Below are 19,233 nucleotides of genomic sequence, written 5' to 3' on the forward strand. Positions count from 1 at the left end.
AAAATTCATCTGTAATTTCAATGAAAAGCTAAATGAATTTTTAACAAAAAAGAACACACATTCTAGTAAAAATGTTCTTGAAATATGGAGAAACTCAGAATTATTGACATAAGACATGGATAGTGAAATGCTCCAAGCTATTCATTGCTTTGCTTTTATAGATAAGAGTGATTAGTTTTTATATTGTGCTGTAACAAATTATCACACTGTTTTAAATAATCCAAATTCATTATTTTTAGTTTTTTAAGTTAGAAGTCTGACAACTTTTGTATCACTGGGTTAAAATCAAGAAGTCAGCAAAGTTGTATTTCTTTCTGGAGGCTCTAGGGGAGAATTTCTTTTCTTGCCTTTTCCAGCTTATAGAGGAAATGTGTATTCCTTGGCTCATGGCCTCTTCCTCTGTCTTCAAAGCCAGCAATGACAAGTTTGACTCACATCACATCTCTCTGACCTTTCTTCAGTCATCACTTCTCTCATTACAGTTGGGAAAGTCTCCACCTGTGACTACATTAGATCCACCTAGATAATTAAGGACCATTTCTCTGTCTCAAGGTTCCTAATCTTAATTGAATTTGCAAAGTCTCTTTTGCCATCTAGGGTAAAGTTTCCACAAATTCTGGGGATTAAAAGGGAAACCTCTTTGGGTGGGGGGTAGGGGGGCTTATTCTTCTTCCTATTGCAATGAATAAAGTTGGAAAGTATTTACCAACACAAGAATATAAAGAATAGCAAAGTGGAAGTGTACAAGATTTCTATTAGTATTTCTATCAATGACGATTGTTCTGTCTTGTCTCCATAAGAGTGTTTGTTTGCAGGAAACTCTGCTGCTTGAACTCCAGTGATTCCTGCAGAACTTTTAACTTTGAGTTGTTCATTTTTTTTACTTGTTTGTTATTGGAAATTGTAGTTAATAATTATAATCCTGTGTCAGAAAGTTGAATCTTGCAATATTTACCCTATTGAATATTTCACTGACCTTACTAGTAAGTGGAATAGACTGGAATAAAACCTGTTCATATCCTACTGGATTTAGGAAAAGCCATCCTTTTCTTCTTTGTACTCTTCAGGTAAAGATGAGTGGTTAGTACAGTAGAGATATTTTTAGAACACTGCCCAGAATTTGACTTTTCCCTCAATAAACACAATACTTTCTGATAGCCGTGCTTGTTTAGCCAGAGGAAGAAGTAAAGTAATCTATTTTTTTTGTTTGCTTTTCAATCCTACTTATTTGTTCATATAATTAGTGGAAATTCATCCAAATTCTGGGGACTGGTTGACTGTACATCCTAGTTACATCCTAGGCAGGCGTTTTTCTCTTTAGATCTCAGTTGAAAATTAATGTGATTTTTCAGAAACCTTTATAGAAAACTAGTCAGATACCATTTTAATCCAGTATTTTAACAATTTAGGCATTTAATTTTATTTAATTCCATACTTCTTGAATTCCTACTATGTGTCAGATGTAGTCAAGAGAATTAGGTGTAAATTTCTGAGCCTGCGAGTTGCCTTTCCCAGAAGGATCTTTTGCTGTGAAAGATTGCTGTTAATGGTGCAGATGGCTGGGTTTTCTGAGGCCATTTCTCCACTGAGTGCCCCACCCCCTAAGTAAGGGTGTGATTCCGTCACCTGAAGAGCCAGGCAGGGGAGGCCTTTTTTTTTTTTTTTTTTTTTTGAGACGGAGTCTCACTCTGTTGCCCAGGTTGGAGTGCAGTGGTGCAATCTCCGCTCACTGCAAGCTCCGCCTCCCGGGTTCAAGCCATTCTCCTGCCTCAGCCTCCCGAGTAGCTGGGACTACAGGCGCCCGCCACCACATCTGGCTAATTTTTTTTTGTATTTTCAGTAGAGACGAGTTTTCACCATGTTAGCCAGGATGGTCTCAATCTCCTGACCTTGTGATCTGCCCGCCTTGGCCTCCCAAAGTGCTGGGATTACAGGCGTGAGCCACTGCGCCCGGCCGGGGAGGCCTTTTTAAACATAGAAACCTATGGTGGAGAAAATGTCACTAGAGCACCCATGCTGCAGCTGCAACTCCTTGGCATCAGGACCAGTCCTTTCTCTTCCAGGACTGGAGACACATGCATCTTCAAATCTGCAGAGCCCACAACCAGCATGGTATTGTCATGCGTGTCCATGTGAAGAGACCACCAAACAGGCTTTGTGTCAGCAATAAAGCTTTTTAATCACCTGGGTGCAGGCGGGCTGAGTCCAAAAAGAGAGTCAGTGAAGGGAGATAGGGATGGGGCCGTTTTATAGGATTTGGGTGGGTAGTGGAAAATTACGGTCAAAGGGGGTTGTTCTCTGGTGGGCAGGGACAGGGGTCACAAGGTGGTCAGTGGGGGAGCTTCTGAGCCAGGAGAAGGAATTTCACAAGGTTAATTGCTCAGTTAAGGTGGGGCAGGAACAAATCACAATGGTGGAATGTCATCAGTGAAGGCAGGAACCGGCTATTTTCACTTCTTTTGTGATTCTTCACTTGCTTCAGGCCATCTGGATGTATTCGTACAGGTCACAAGGGATATCATGGCTTAGCTTGGGCTCAGAGGCCTGACATTCCTGTCTTCTTATATCAATAAGAAAAATAACATAAAATAGTATTGAAGTGTTGGGGCAGTGAAAATCTTTTTGGGGGCTGGTATGGAGAGATAATGGGCAATGTTTCTCAGGGCTGCTTCCAGTGGCATTAGGGGTGGCATGGGAACCCAGAGTGGGAGAGATTAAGCTGAAGGAAGATTTTGTGGTAAGGGGTGATATTGTGGGGTTGTTGGAAGGAGCATTTGTCATATAGTGTGATTGGTGATGGCCTGGATACAGTTTTGGATGAATTGTGAAACTAAACAGAAGACACAAGGTCCAAGCATGGGAACCTAGAGTGGGAGAGATTAAGCTGAAGGAAGATTTTGTGGTAAGGGGTGATATTGTGGGGTTGTTGGAAGGAGCATTTGTCATATAGCTTGATTGGTGATGGCCTGGATACAGTTTTAGATGAATTGAGAAACTAAACAGAAGACACAAGGTCCAAATAAGAGAAGGAGAAAAACAGGTATTAAAGGACTAAGTATTGGAGGACCCAGGACATCTAATTAAAGAGTGCCCAAGGGGGTTCAGCTTACTTACTTGCTTGGTTGGCAAGTTTTTAGACTCTATCCTTGAGTGTTTTTTTTGTTTTGTTTTGTTTTTTTACATTGTCATGTACCAGGCCAGATTGATTTAGGTAAAAACAACACTCTTCATTTAAAAATATACAGAGTCCCCCCTTTTTTTTAAGCAGTTAGTAAGTCAGGGCCTCTGTGATTTTAGAGGAAAGAGAAATGCAAAGCCAGCAATTGTTTGTTAAAGAAGGATTAGAAATGGCGACGAGAGCATTTTTTCATGTGTTTTTTGGCTGCATAAATGTCTTCTTTTGAGAAGTGTCTATTCATGTCCTTCGCCCACTTTTTGATGGGGTTGTTTGTTTTTTTCTTGTAAATTTGTTGGAGTTCATTGTAGATTCTGGATATTAGCCCTTTGTCAGATGAGTAGGTTGCGAAAATTTTCTCCCATGTTGTAGGTTGCCTGTTCACTCTGATGGTAGTTTCTTTTGCTGTGCAGAAGCTCTTTAGTTTAATTAGATCCCATTTGTCAATTTTGTCTTTGGTTGCCACTGCTTTTGGTGTTTTAGACATGAAGTCCTTGCCCATGCCTATGTCCTGAATGGTAATGCCTAGGTTTTCTTCTAGGGTTTTTATGGTTTTAGGTCTAACGTTTAAGTCTTTAATCCATCTTGAATTGATTTTTGTATAAGGTGTAAGGAAGGGATCCAGTTTCAGCTTTCTCCATATGGCTAGCCAGTTTTCCCAGCACCATTTATTAAATAGGGAATCCTTTCCCCATTGCTTGCTTTTCTCAGGTTTGTCAAAGATCAGATAGTTGTAGATATGTGGAAAAATGCTCATCATCACTGGCCATCAGAGAAATGCAAATCAAAACCACAATGAGATACCATCTCACACCAGTTAGAATGGCAATCATTAAAAAGTCAGGAAACAACAGGTGCTGGAGAGGATGTGGAGAAATAGGAACACTTTTACACTGTTGGTGGGACTGTAAACTAGTTCAACCATTGTGGAAGTCAGTGTGGTGATTCCTCAGGGATCTAGAACTAGAAATACCATTTGACCCAGCCATCCCATTACTGGGTATATACCCAAATGACTATAAATCATGCTGCTATAAAGACACATGCACACGTATGTTTATTGCGGCATTATTCACAATAGCAAAGACTTGGAACCAACCCAAATGTCCAACAATGATAGACTGGATTAAGAAAATGTGGCACATATACACCATGGAATACTATGCAGCCATAAAAAATGATGAGTTCATGTCCTTTGTAGGGACATGGATGAAATTGGAAATCATCATTCTCAGTAAACTATCACAAGAACAAAAAACCAAACACCGCATATTCTCACTCATAGGTGGGAATTGAACAATGAGATCACATGGACACAGGAAGGGGAATATCACACTCTGGGGACTGTGGTGGGGTGGGGGGAGGGGGGAGGGATAGCATTGGGAGATATACCTAATGCTAGATGACGAGTTAGTGGGTGCAGTGCACCAGCATGGCACATGTATACATATGTAACTAACCTGCACAATGTGCACATGTACCCTAAAACTTAAAGTATCATAAAAAAAAAAAGAAAAAGTATTAGAAAAAAAAATAGAAATGGCTACGAGAGAGTGAGTGAGATTGATAGTGTGGTGGAGATAGCTGGGGAGAGGTAGAGGGTGGCATGAGAATGGGAATGAGAATAAGAGTGAGTATAAAAGTAAAGAATAGAACCTCATCAGGGTGAAAGTATTGGAGGGTGCCCTGCCAGCAAAGATCATCTATCCACTCCAAGAGGGAGTCAAGTGTGGTGGTTTGGGGATAGCACCAGGAGATACCAGCTGTGATGGCTTGGAGAAACAGTGTAAACTGGCAGTGTAAACAAGAGCAGGGCATTTATGAGTAGTTGAGAACAGTGAATAGGAGTATGACTAGACAGAAGATAGTAAGGATGACAAGTTTTTGGGGCTCAGTCCAAGTAGTGGGGGTGACTGCATAAAGCCCTGTTGCAAAAAGTAGGGTAAGGATGAATAGACTTAATAGAATGAAGGGATATATTACACTCATGAGGGTTATTACTGTTCTTCAGAAATGAGAGTGAGTGTAAGCGAAGTAGGGGAGAGGACTTGCGACTTCCAGGAGAAAGAGAGATTAGGCTGGCTGTCCGATGGACACAGCTTTATTCTGGAGTGGCGAACCCAGTGGGGAGGATCCTGCAGGCAGATGGCAGTTGGGGTACTATAGATGACTAAGTAGGGTCTGGTCCAACGAGGTTGTAGAGTTTGAGGGGTCAGATTCTTAACAAGAACTGATCATCCAGCTAGGGTGTCTTCATATGGCTGGGAATCTGGAGTAGGCAAGAGAAGATTAGCAGCTTGGCGAATTTCCTGTCTAGCCTGCTGGAGGACTGGAAGATAGTCACCTAGAGGGCCAGTGTCTGGGACAAGGTTGGAGCCGAGCAAGAAAGTGCGTCCATATAAAAGTTCAAATGGACTGTACCCTGTAGCATCTGGAGGACAGGCTCTAATTCTGAGAAGGGCAAGACGTAAAAGTACAGTCCAGTCCTTTCTAAGTTGGAGGCTGAGCTTGGCGAGGTGTGTCTTTAAAAGATCATTAGTCCATTCTACCTTTCCTGAAGATTGAGGACAGTAAGGGGTATGAAGGTTCCACTAATACCAAGAGCCTGAGAAACTGCTCGGGTGATTTCACTAGTAAAGGCTGGTCCGTTATCAGACTGTATAGAGGCGGGAAGGCCAAACCGAGGAATTATGTCTGACAGAAAGGAAGAAATGACCATGGTGGCCTTCTCAGACCCTGTGGGAAAGGCCTCTACCCATCCAGTGAAAGTGTTTACCCAGACCAAGAGGTATTTTAGCTTCCTGACTCAGGGCATGTGAGTAAAGTTAATTTGCCAGTCCTGGGCAGGGGCAAATTTTTGAGCTTGATGTGTAGGGAAGGGAGGGGGCCTGAGAAATCCCTGAGGAGTAGTAGAGTAGCAGATGGAACACTGAGAAGTGATTTTTTGAGGATAGATTTTTATGATGGAAAGGAAAAGAGAGGTTTTAAGAGGCAGGTTAGCGGCTTGTAACCTACAATGAAGAGGTTATGAAAAGACAATAGAATAGAATGGGCCTGTGAGGCTGGAAGGAGATATTTTCCTTGGTCCAAGAACCATTTGTCTTGTGTGGGAAGAGATTGATAGGTGGAAGTTTCAGTGGGAGAGTAGGTGGGAGTAACTGATGAAAAGGAGAAAAACTGGCCATGAGGGACAGAAGTAGGAAGGCTAGCTGCTTCTTTAGCTACCTTATCAGCATAAGCGTTGCCCTGAGCGATGGGATCTGATGCCTTTTGATGGCCCTTGCAGTGAATGACTCGTTTCTTTTGGAAGAAAAGCAGCCTTGAGAAGAGTTTTTATTAAAGAGGCATTAATGATGGAGGACCTTTGCATAGTGAGGAAACCTCTTTTAGCCCATGTAACAGCATCGTGGTGCAGGATATGGAAGGCATATTTACAGTTACTATAAATATTGACACGTAGTCCTTTTGTAAGAGTGAGGGACCGAGTTAAGGCAATGAGTTTGGCGTGCTGAGAGATCATGGAGGGGGGCAGAGTGGTAGTCTCAATGACAGATGTGGAAGATACTACAGCATAGACTGCCTTTGCTGGTGAGTGGTGATTAGGCCTGGTGGAACTGCCATCAATAAACCAAGTATGATCAGGGTGAGGACAGGAAAAAAGGAAATATGGGGAAATGGAGTGAATGCCAGGTGTATTAGAGAGATACAGTCATGGGGGTCAGGTGTGGTATCAGGAATAATGTGGGAGGCTGGATTGAAGTCCAGGCCAGGAACAATGGTAATTGTGGGAGACTCAACAAAGAGTGAGTATAGCTGAAGGAGCCAGGGAGCAGAAAGTATATGTGTCAGGTGTGAGGAAGAAAATAGATTTTGGAAGTTATGAGAACTATAGAGAGTGAGTTGAGCATAGTTTGTGATTTTGAGGGCCTTTAAAAGTATTAGGGTGGTGGCAGCCACTGCACAGAGACATGATGGCCAGCCTAAAACAGTAAGGTCAAGTTATTTGGACAAAAAGGCTACAGGACCCGGTCCCAGTCCTTGTGTAAGAATTCCAACTGCACAGCCCTGCACTTCAGCTGTGTGTAATGAAAAGGGTTGGGATGAGTCAGGGAGAGCTAGTGTGGGAGCAGTCTCTAAAGCTGTCTTCAAGGAACGGAAAGAGGAGTGGGGAAAGGATTTAGGATCTATGGGGTCAGCTAGGTTTTCTTTTGTGAGTTTATATAACGGTTTTGTTAGGATGGTAAAACCAGGTATTTAAAGGCGCAAGTACCTAACTATGCCTAGGAAGGAAAGGAGTTGTTGTTTTATAGAAGGGGTTGGGGTTTGGGAGATTAGCCAGGCATGATCAGCAGGGAGAGCACATGTGTTTTTATGAAGAATTATGCCAAAATAGGTAATGGATGAGGAAGAAATGTGGGTTTTGGAAGGGGATACAAGATATCCTTTTGAGAATAGATGTTGGAGGAACAGGAGGGTGTCCTGTTGGGAAGATTTGTAGGAGGGGCTATAAAGTAGAAGGTCATCAAAATATTTAATAAGGTGAGAAGCAGATGGATGGAAAGAAAGTAAATTATGAGAAAGGGCTTGACTGAAGTAATGAGGGCTGTCCATGAAGCCTTGTGGCAATACAGCCCAGGTAAGTCACTGAGACTGATGGGTGTCAGGGTCAGCCCAGGTAAAAGCAAAGAGAGGCTGGGAGGAGAGGTGCAGGGGAATAGTGAAAAAAGCATCCTTAAGATCAAGAATGGAATAGTGAGTTGTGGAGGAAGGTATTGAGGACAAAACAGTGTACGGGTTGGGCACCACAGGGTGGATAGGCAAAACAATTTGGTTGATAAGACGCAGATCCTGAACTAACCTGTAAGACTTGTCCGGTTTTTGAACAGGTAAAATGGTGGAATTGTAAGGAGAGTTTATAGGTTTTAGAAGCCCATGCTGTAGCAGGCGAGTGATAACAGGCTTTAATCCCCTTAAAGCCTGTTGTGGGATGGGATACTGGCATTGAGAGAGGTAAGGGTGATTAGGTTTTAATGGGATAGTAATGGGGATGTGATCGGTTGCCAAGGAGGGAGTAGAGGTGTCCCATACTTGTGGGTTAAGGTGGGGGGATATGAGAGGAAGACACGAAGGAGGCTTTGAACTGGGGAAAAGGGCAGCAATGAGGTGTGGCTGTAGCCTAGGAATAGTCAGGGAAGCAGATAATTTAGTTAAAATGTCTCAATCTAATAAGGGAGCTGGGCAGGTGGGGATAACTAAAAAGGAGTGCATAAAAGAATGTTGTCCAAGTTGGCATCAGAGTTGGGGAATTTTAAGAGGTTTAGAATCCTGGCTGTCAATACCTACAATAGTTATGGAGGCAAGGGAAACAGGCCCTTGAAAAGAAGGTAATGTGGAGTGGGTAGCCTCCGTATTGATTAAGAAGGGGATGGACTTACCCTCCACTGTAAGAGTTACCGAAAGCATCTGTGGTGGTCCAGGAAGCTCCTGAGGCTATCAGGCAGCATCAGTCTTCAGCCACTAAGCCGAGAAGATCTTGGAAGGAGTCAGTCAGAGAGCCTTGGGCCAGAGTTCCAGGGGTTCTGGGAGTGGCTGCTGGGTGAGTTGAACAGTCCGATTTCCAGTGGGGTCCCGCACGGATGGGACACGGCTTAGGAGGAATCCCAGGCTGCAGGCATTCCTTGGCCCAGTGGCCAGATTTCTGGCACCTGAAGCAAGATCCTGATGGAGGAGGTCCTGAAAGAATGGCTGACCGCTGTGGCTTAGGCAGTTTCTCTCACAGCAGAGGCAAGTAATTGCAACTCTTCTCTATTATTGATTGTATACCTTGAAGGCAAGGTTAATTAAGTCCTGTTGTGGGGTTTGAGGGCCAGAATCTAATTTTTGGAGCTTTATTTAATGTCAGGAGTGGATTGGGTAATAAAATGCATATTGAGAATAAGACAGCCTTCTGATCCTTTAGGGTCTAGGGCTGTAAAGCATTTCAGGGTTGCTGCCAAACGAGCCATGAACTGGGCTGGGTTTTTATATTTGATGAAAAAGAGCCTAAACACTAACTGATTTGGGAGAGGTTGGATGAAGAAAAAGGAGCATTAACCTTGACTATGCCTTTAGCTCCAGCCCCCTCTTTAAGAGGAGATTGTTGGGCAGGTGGGGGAGGGCTAGTCGCAGAACAAAACTGTAAGCCAGACCAGGTGTGACAAGGGGAAGTGATAGAAGGATTATAGCGTAGGGGAGAGGAGGCTGAGGAAGAATTGGAGCCTGATTCAGCCTCATGGGGAGTGACCTGAGGAGGAGCAGTCTGGGGAGGAGGGGAGAGGTTAGATGGGTCGGTACAAAAGGAAGATTGAAAAGACTTAGTAACACTTGGGGTTGGGACTGAGGGGACAGGTAGGAGGGAAAGAAGGAGGATTTGGGATGAGTTTTATTGGGAACAGAGACTAGGGAGGGACCGATGTGTAAAAGAATGCCTGGATGTCAGGCATCTCAGACCATTTGCCCATTTTACGACAAGAATTACGTAGATCTTGTAAGATGGAGAAATTGAAAGTGCCATTTTTTGGCTATTTAGAACCATTGTCGAGTTTGTATTGGGGTCAAGCGGTATCGCAGAAGAAAATAAGGCATTTAGGTTTTAGGTCAGGTGTGAGTTGCAGAGGTTTTAAGTTCTTGAGAACACAGGCTAAGGGGGAAGAGGGAGGAATGGAGGGTGGAAGGTTGCCCATAGTGAAGGGAGCAAGCCCAGAGAAAAGAGAGGGTAGAGACACAGAGAGAGGGGGTGGGTGGGGGGTGATTGCCCCCCCAGGAAAGTGTATTGGCCACTAAGGTGGAGGATCAAGGCAGGTGTCCCCATGGTGATCAGACACCTCTGAAATGTGGGTGAATAATCAAGCAGGCGTCCCTGCAGTGATTAAACACCAAGGGAAGACTGTCTTCCCGAGTCCGTGACTGGTGCCGGAGTTTTGGGTTCACGGATAAAACGCGTCTCCTCTGTCTCTACCAGAAAAGGAAAGGAACTGAAATTAAGGGAAGGGAGAGATTGAAGGGTGGCACCAACATTGAAAGGAGAAAGAAGTTGAGGGATAGTGAGAGAGGTTGGGGAAGAGAGTAAAAAGAGGCCTCTTACCCGATTTAAAATTGGTGAGATGTTCCTTGGGCTGGTTGGTCTGAGGACCCGAGGTCGTAGATGGATCTTTCTCACAGAGCAAAGAGCAGGAGGACAGGGGATTGATCTCCCAAGGGAGGTTCCCTGATCCAAGTCACGGCACCAAATGTCACACGTGTCCATGTGAAGAGACCACCAAACAGGCTTTTTAATCACCTGGGTGCAGGTGGGCTGAGTCTGAAAAGAGAGTCAGCTAAGTGAGATAGGGGTGGGGCCGTTTTATAGGATTTGGGTGAGTAGTGGAAAATTACAGTCAAAGGGGGTTGTTCTCTGGTGGGCAGGGACAGGGGTCACAAGGTGGTCAGTGGGGGAGCTTCTGAGCCAGGAGAAGGAATTTTACAAGGTTAATTGCTCAGTTGGACAGAAACAAATCACAATGGTGGAATGTCATCAGTGAAGGCAGGAACTGGCCATTTTCATTTCTTTTGTGATTCTTCACTTCCTTCAGGCCATCTGAATGTATTCATGCAGATCACAGGGGATATGATGGCTTAGCTTGGGCTCAGAGGCCTGACAGCGTTAATTATGAGGAAATTCAGAGGAAGAATTTGTCCTTATGCAGAGAACAAAAGAGAGAGAAGAGTCAGACCCACTAGGTTCAGCCAATTTCTTGCATCTTAGAAGTCTCATTGAAATATAATTATCCAGTTAATGATGGAAGGAAGAAGGTTTAACTTGTACATTTTTAAAATCCTACATTTTGAAGTATGGTACTAATGTATTTTATATTTATCAATTTATCAATTTGCCAATTTACCAATTTTTTGTGTGGAAAAGTGTACTTGATATGTACAGATGATATATGATATGTAAAGAAATGGTATAGAAAATGTAGGTATGTAAAATGAGTAATACAACTGAAAAGAGCTAATAATAAAATAATATATACAGAATACCCTCATTTAACTTACGTAAGGGCATAAATACACACACAAAATATTTAGAGCCATCTTCCCAATTGTAAAAGTGGTAGTAGCTTAAAGGGAAGCTACAGGTGATTTTCATTGCTTTAATACTCAATTATATTTGTGACTTGCATTGAAAAATATTATCGTAATAACCCCTTTAAATAAGCCAAAACCAAACTTATAGATAGGATACGTTTCAAAACATCTTAGAGGCACTTAAGAACTGTCTTGCTGTCTTGCCCTTTGAGGTAACAGTAGAATTTTTTTTTGTTGTTTAGAGATGGAGTCTGCTCTGTCACCCAGGCTGGAGTGCAGTGGTGCAGTCTCAGCTTACTGCAACTTCTGTCTCCCAGGTTCAAGCAATTCTCCCATCTCAGCCTCCTGAGTACCTGGGACTACAGGCGCACACCACCATGCCTGGCTAATTTTTGTATTTTTAGTACAGACGGGGATTCACCATGTTGTCCAGGCTGACCTTGAACTCCTGAGTTCAAGTGATCTGCCTGCCTCAGCCTCCCAAAGTGCTGGGATTACAGGCATGAGCCACTGAGCCTGGCCAGTGGAAACTTTTAAAAAAGTTCTTACTTGTTCATAATTGGCATTGTTCTGAAAAAAATATACTTTGATACTAGCTAGTGTTTCTAATAAAAAAGGATGAAGCATAAAGGATACAAAACTGGAATTTTTTTTTTTTTTTTGAGATGGAGTCTTGCTGCGTCATCCAGGCTGGAGTGCAGTGGCGGGATCTCGGCTCACTGCAAGCTCCGCCTCCTGGGTTCGCGCCATTCTCCTGCCTCAGCCTCCTGAGTAGCTTGGACTACAGGTGCCCACCACCACGCCCGGCTAATTTTTTGTATTTTTAGTAGAGACGGGGTTTCACCGTGTTAGCCAAAACTGGAATTTTTCATATATTTAATAATTTGCCAAAATAAATTCAAATTTGATTCCATGGTATGTTAATAACATCCAAAGCTGGAGAGTTTAGTCCTATGAGATGAATTTTCTAACCAGTAATGGACTGGTACAACACTCCACTTTGTGGGAGGAACACGGTGGAAGTCCTTTGGAGGAGGTGGTGAGACTCACATGCAGGTGGAACTCATCTTGGGTGGAAGTAACATCAGAAGTGTTGATATGGCCAAGTAAGCAGATTATATATCTCATGTCTCTTTTTCCTTTGGACAGCTGATGTAGCAAAATACTAGCAGACTTCCAGAATTTTATTTTCTAGTGATTCCATGACAGAATAAATAGAATTACCGTGCCATAACAGAGCCCTAGAGTAAAACCTCTCTATCCCCTTCTCCACAAGACCCAGAAAAGTCCCATGGAAAGACTGAGTCCTGATTTTGAGCGTCTCCAGAAGCATCATCCACAATCAACTGTAATTTCAGTCAAGGTCAAGTTTAGAAAAATTCTTCCCTCAGCAAAAGCACCCAGGAGAGACCCATGCACGTGGTGTCACTCTTACATTTCTGCGCCAGTGATAGTACCCTGACCGTATCAAGTGTTTGGGAGGCCCTGGCATTGTGAGGCTCACAATGCACGTAGAGATGACCGGATAAACAGCATCTTTATTTGTATATACTCAAAGACACATTTATAGCTTCCAAGTAACTTGGTGGGGCTTAGATTTGGATAGGCTAATGATTATGGGTTGATTCCTTAAAGTAGCTCCACTGTTTTTAGCATTCCTGGGAAAATCTCAAGAAACTCCACTGCTGTGGGGCTGGTCTTCATGAACGGGCACCTGGCTGGGATGGCAGAGGTCACCACGGGGTGAGCCAGCTCCTTGACCAGGAGATTCAGCATCATACTATTCACCAAGAAGCACGTTTTCAGCTGCTTTTCATAGCTCAGCTTCTCCTAGCATCAGCCACAGGACAATTATAATCTTTTAAAATGCATTTCAACATCAATAGAGTTTGGAAGAAGCCCTTGTGAAAACATACTATTGAAAGTATTGATAGGAATTCTTGATAAATCACTCCTATGATTATGGTCAACTTCCTGTTTTTCCTCCTGGAGATGTGTAAGTACGTCCATTTCTCATTATAGTGAGGATTTTTAATGTAGGATCCTTGTTTTTGTTCAAATTATGTTCAAGTTTTATTGAACACAAATTCAACATTTCAGTATCACAGGAAGGGTACATGATTCTAGAGAATGAGAACTAAGATCACAATCCTAGACGTCACCTTGGTGAATCAAATACGAATTATTTTCTAAGAGTATTCTTTCTTCCTGAAAATATTCTGCATTCTGGAAGGGTAGGTATACATCCCAATAGACCGGGTTTGTGAAGTCTTCAGTGATCTTTGAATATCTCAAACTTCATGTTGGTGTGTTCTAGAAACTCTTATGTTCTCTCAATATCCATGGCAGTCTTTCAAGGCTGCTGCCTTAATTTCTATCACATGTATTAACCATTTCAACGCCAGTGGCTTCTCTTCCCTTGAGACACAGTTCATGCCAATCTAGATGCCTCAGAGGGTCACCAGTGAATTTCTGGATCATGCACTGAACCCCCAAGGCAATTCTTGTAGCAGTTTGTTTTCAAAACAGAGGTATCAGTCAGGTTAGACTGGATTATGCTACGGTGACACATGACACCACATTCTCAGTGGCGTGACATAGGAGCGCTATTGCTTGGACAAAGTCTGCTGTGGGTCTGGGTTCCTGTCCGGGTGCCTGCCTTACGGGCTGTGGCTCAGGCTTTCAGACCACTTGCTTGGATCCTGGACATCTCCATGTGAACATGTGCACCCACCATCGTCACAGGAGAATAAGAGAGAAATGGAGAGACAGCGCCAGCAAGGACAGCTCCAGCCTGGAGGAGCACGTGGTACTGCGCTTTGCTCTTCTGTAGCTAGAAAAATGGCTGCCATTCACTTTGAGGGTGGGGAGTTTACTCCTGGAAGTAGAGAAGAAAGGATGTGAGTCAGTGTGTAAATCTCTCTTGCTCTGAGAAACAGAATACTTCTCTGAGAGACACACAGCTATGTTTCCAGCTGTATTTTCAGAGCTCACAGACTGTACCTTCAATATCTATGTAAATCTCCCTTTCAGCAGACTTTTCAGTGGCAGGTACTTTTCCTCAGGAATCAGTAACATTCGATTAAGGATCTTATATTTCTCAGCATATATGTTTTAGTAAACAGGCTCATAACATGAATTTAAAAAATATATTTCCCACACCAAATAACCATTTCATACCATCTATATTGAGCCTGTGTTTGAAAGTATGCTAAACATCATTTTGTTTACTATATTTTAGGTTTTCTGTTTCTTTGTAGACTCTAGCCACATTATTATATATAATATACACTTTTCTGATTATGAACTAGCCATTGCTTATTATTAACCTGAAATCAAGACAGATGTGAAAAATAAGGCAAAAAGCACCCCTAGTTCCATATCTCAGAAGTAACTCCAGTTATTATTCTGGGATGTTACTGTATAAATAGAATAATATACAATAGTGACCCACCAGTGGTATATTCCCACATAAACTCACAGGATGCCTGCCAGGAGCCCTAAAACCAACTTCCTTTCAGAATCCCTGAAGAAATATGTTACAAATAGATTCCTGGGCCACTGGCCAGGTTTAATAAATTCAGGTTTTCAATTGTGCAACTCAAGAATTTATAATTTTAACAAGCTCCCTAGGGGTTTTTTATAAGACCAACTCAGTCCAATTTGAAACACAGGTTTCTAGGAGCCATGGGTATCTATCACGATTATTGATTCCTTATCATTGATTCCTCTCCTTCCTTCAAATGTAATGTTAAACACCAGCAAGCTCCTTAGCTTTCACCAACATCATGTATGTCGAATCTGACCAATGACACCACCTACCTACCCTGCCACCTTCCTGAGCAAAGCAGTCATTGTGTCTTGATGGAACAACAGAAACAGCTTAGTGAGTGTTCTCACTGGTTCCTGTGCTGCCTGGAATCATGTTGCTAAGGTGTAGATCTGGTCACATCATTATACTGTCTGCTACCATCCACTGGCTTCCCACTGCAGTGCCAGTCAAATATAAATGCATTTCCCAGGCTCATCCCACCCTGCCCTGAGGGTTCCCAAACAGGCCAGGGGGAGGCTTGGCAGTGTCTGTAGGCACTTTTCGTCACCAAACCTAGAAGGAGCGGTGTTGCTGGCATTGAGTGCAGGGAGGCCAAGGTCGCTGCTCAGCACCCTGCAGGGCAAGGGACAGCCCCACCGCAAGGGAGGATTTGCCCACATATCTGCAGTGCAGGAGGTGGGAAGCCCTGCCCTAGCAACCTGGCGCTTCTCCCCGCCTTGCCCTGTTGGCCATTATGCCATTCCCCTCTAGTTTTCTATCTGCAGAACCTGCCACACTCATTCCACATCAGGCACTTCCTAGTTGCATGGAGGGGAGCCAGGCTGGAGAGCCCCACCTGACGTCAGATTTCCTACGAGCATGAAATAAGCTGTGAGCGTGCAGAGCCACTGAGATCAGGGCTGTTTGTCCCCACAGCACACCCTGTCCTAACCTGCTTGACTTTGTTTCATGCACAAATCTCCCCATGTTACCAGTGGAGGGTGTCCAGCTTCTTGGCATCTTGAACAAATAATTGGACAAAATGCATAAACAAAGCAAGGAAAGAATGAAGCAACAAAATCAGAGATTTATTGAAAATGAAAGTACACTCCACAGGGTGGGAGTGGTCCTAGCACACGGGCTCAAGAGCCCAGTTACAGAATTTTCTGGGGTTTAAATACCCTCTAGAGGTTTCCATTGGTTACTTCCATTGGTTTATATTGGTGTATGCCCTGTGTAATGAAGAGCATGAAGTTAAGTTACAAAGTCATTTACTCTGTGTATGCCCTATGTAAATGGAGAGGGTATTACCTGTCATCACTGAAGTGTTTCCATTTGATTTAGTTCTAGGAAATCAGCGTGAATCGGCCTTATGTTCTCTCCCTCCAGCCACTGTTCTCCTGCCTCACCGACGTTAGTGAATGGCTTTTATCAATGCGGATTTCTAACAGTGGAACCATTTTCCACTTAGGCTATACCATGATTTATTTAGTCTTTCTTCATTGTGAGACAAATTCATTTTAGTTAAATGTAAATTTCAAGTTAAAAAAATTACTTTTTTCCACCTGAATGCTCTCTGTGAGGTCAAGATATATTTCCTTTGTCTCCCAGGCCTGACAGAGTTTTGAAAAGCTGCTCTTCTGAGATTTAGTACACAAACCTATGCTCTTCTTCCTCACACATTTCCTTTTTATAATGTTTTAACAGGAGGTAAGGAGTGGCTCTTCTGCTGCCTGTAGTAACATTTCTTAACATTTCTGATGCAAATCTGTAAGGAGATGTTGACACTTGCTTTGGTGGGTGGTTGAGATGAAAGGTCCTGGCGTGGCCAGAGGGGCCCCCACGTGGAGCAGAGGTTGGCTTAGCCACACGGTGGTGGTCACTGTGGTCCGGTGGGGGCACAGACTAGACTTTCCAGTGCTGGGTGATTGGTGGAAATTGGGGAAGCCAATTCCGAGATTTGTTATGGTGCAGAGAGAGAGACGGAACTGCATTCAGACAAAAACAGAAGGTAAGAAGAAAACTCTATTTTGAAATTTTGAATTGGGGAGATTTCAATTTAGTTATGGAAGCCTCTGAGAGTAATTCCATCACTGAACTTAAAGATCAATGCTGGTATTCACTTTGAAGATTTGAGGTTTTTTTTGCTACCATCCCAGGAGCGAAGAAAGCATCTGGATCCTGGATGGCAAAAATGCCACCGCCTTTTCCAACAGCACTGCTATCTTTTGTGATTGGAACACACCAGCAGGGAATGCTTTGGCAGGGAAATCCTAAGGAGCACCTCATATCCAAATCCCTAATCCCTGGCCTACTCACATGACCAGGAGTCATCTGTAATACTGTCCAAGGTTAGATAGTTTTATAGAAGGACAAAATTAAATGAAAATCCTTAGTAAAATAGGCATGCTTATGCTAGCTGTATATTAAAGCATGTCTGGGACATCATGGTAAGCTGGGTACATTGCAGCATGCTCTCCAGCGAAGCAGCTAAACCTAGCTGGAAGTGTTGCTTTTAGAGGAGAAAACTAGAGGAATCTAGAAGTTTCAATCATGTCAAGCTTAAAAGTTTGGCAAAAACAAAAGTATAATTTGCAGTTCTTCTGATTACTTACAGAAACCTAGAAGGGATACATTTTCAGATCTCCACCCCGCCAGAAAAGAAGGATTGCAAAAAATGTTCTGGGCATCTAACTCTGTCATATCTCTTGCCTTGTACAATCAATTTGATAGTTTTGGTTTGGTGACTTGATGGAAAGACAGTAAATGAAGAATGGTGTGGGATTTTAGAGTATTCCATTGCCTCATATTTCATGGTCCTGGCAGTGGTTTTACTTTGTAACAGTGCAGAATCCTAATGAGGTATGAAGAGAGAAAGCCTGGAAACAAGTGGATTTCCATATTGGCGTCAACAGAGACATGTCAGCAGAAAGGTCGCGGCAGGGGGCTGGAGCCTCACTGAAGTTATTCCTGACCCAGCATTTAAAAATGTCCTTATTTTAAAGCCTCTGCTTACAGGCCATTAAAAACTTGCTGTGGGACATTTTCTAGAATGACGTTCGCAACATGACATTGGGATTACTGATGTAAAGAAACTTAATTGCTTAGATCAAAATGTACTTTGGGTTTTTTGAATGGTTTTAAATGTTCAGAAGGAAAAGGATTGGATAATTTAGGAAGACATTTTGTAAAATAAAATAACTTTTGGCAGATAGGCTGGAAAAGGCAAACAAGAAAAACAGGTAATGGTTTCATTTCAGGAACAAAGGAAACAAATGTTCATTTATAGAGAGCTCATAAAATCTAAAATATCATAGATAACCTCTACATATGTGTTATTTTTTATTTGGGTCTTTTCTTTGCTTGGGGAAGAAGAGCTCACATTTTTCATTTTAGATACTTGCAAGGTATTTGCACATTGACTTGTCTTATTAGCTTCTCGAAATATCCCTGCAGCACTTTATATGGACGCAGCAACCGACATGCAGACAGGTGGAGGAGCATGCTGGTGAAAGGGACACAGGATCTCTCTGGAGTCTCTTTTGTAAGAACACTCAATCCCTTAATTGTGAGGGGGACATAAGCATTCAGTCTTAGCACCCAGCAAATCCTGATGAAGAGCAACTGGTTGTGGATATATTTGATGATTAGTAAAGGTAGGAAAGGCAGGCAAGACATCTCTGGGCTTTGTTGCATTTAACCACCATGACCTGCATCTGACAGTTGTGCGAACGGTCATCATAGTCATCTCTTCTCCTTTATTTTCTTTATCGTGGTCTTCCTTAGCTTTGTCTTCCTTTTTTTTTTTCTGTTCCTTTTTTCCTTTTTTTTTTTTTTTGAGGTGGAATTTTACTCTTTTTACACAGGCTGGAGTGCAATGGTGCAGTCTCGGCTCACTGCAACCTCTGCCTCCCAGGTTCAAGTGATTCTCCTGCAGGTGAATTTTTGTACTAAATTTTGTAATTTTGTACACCCAGCTAATTTTCGTACTTTTAGTAGAGACGGGGTTTCATCATGTTGGCCAGGTTGGTCTTGAACTCCTGACCTCAGGTCATGCTCCCGTTCAGCCTCTCAAAGTGCTGGGATTACAGGCATGAGTCAGTGCATCTGGCTTTCCTTTTCTTTTTCTAAGTGAACAAATACAAAAAAAAAAAAAAGGAGAATTAATAAAATAGTCATGTACTCATGACTAAAAATGCCACCTTTTCACATCTGTACCATGGATTAATTTGCAAAGAGAAGGAGACAGCACAGGCAGTTGAAGTTGGCCTTCCTCCGCTGCAGCCTGCTACCTAGGCTTGCCCTTTCTTTGCCACAGTCGTCTTCTGAGAACTATCATGTGACCCTTTCAAATGAAAACGTGGTCACATGATACTCTTAAAAATTAATTTTCCTACTCCAGCATCATTTGATCGTGTTC

The 19,233-nt window shown here is 42.8% G+C and overlaps 1 long non-coding RNA gene across 1 annotated transcript in view, besides 1 other annotated feature; it reads left to right on the plus strand.

The window, feature by feature from the left end:
- The window catches only part of LINC02196 (long intergenic non-protein coding RNA 2196), a 114,548-nt gene that overhangs the window by 16,408 nt on the left and 78,907 nt on the right, over window positions 1-19,233 (plus strand). The window lies entirely within an intron of this gene.
- Window positions 13,449-14,648: an enhancer, noted in NCBI's record as "CDK7 strongly-dependent group 2 enhancer chr5:7066450-7067649 (GRCh37/hg19 assembly coordinates)". NCBI's record gives its function as "activates an origin of replication core promoter dependent on BRD2, BRD4, P300/CBP, MED14 and CDK7 cofactors, with strong dependence on CDK7, by STARR-seq in HCT116 cells {active_cell/tissue: HCT116}" and the evidence as "EXISTENCE:reporter gene assay evidence [ECO:0000049][PMID:35650434]".

This window comes from Homo sapiens, chromosome 5 (genome assembly GCF_000001405.40).
Source record: "Homo sapiens chromosome 5, GRCh38.p14 Primary Assembly".
Classification (NCBI taxonomy): Eukaryota; Metazoa; Chordata; class Mammalia; order Primates; family Hominidae; genus Homo; species Homo sapiens.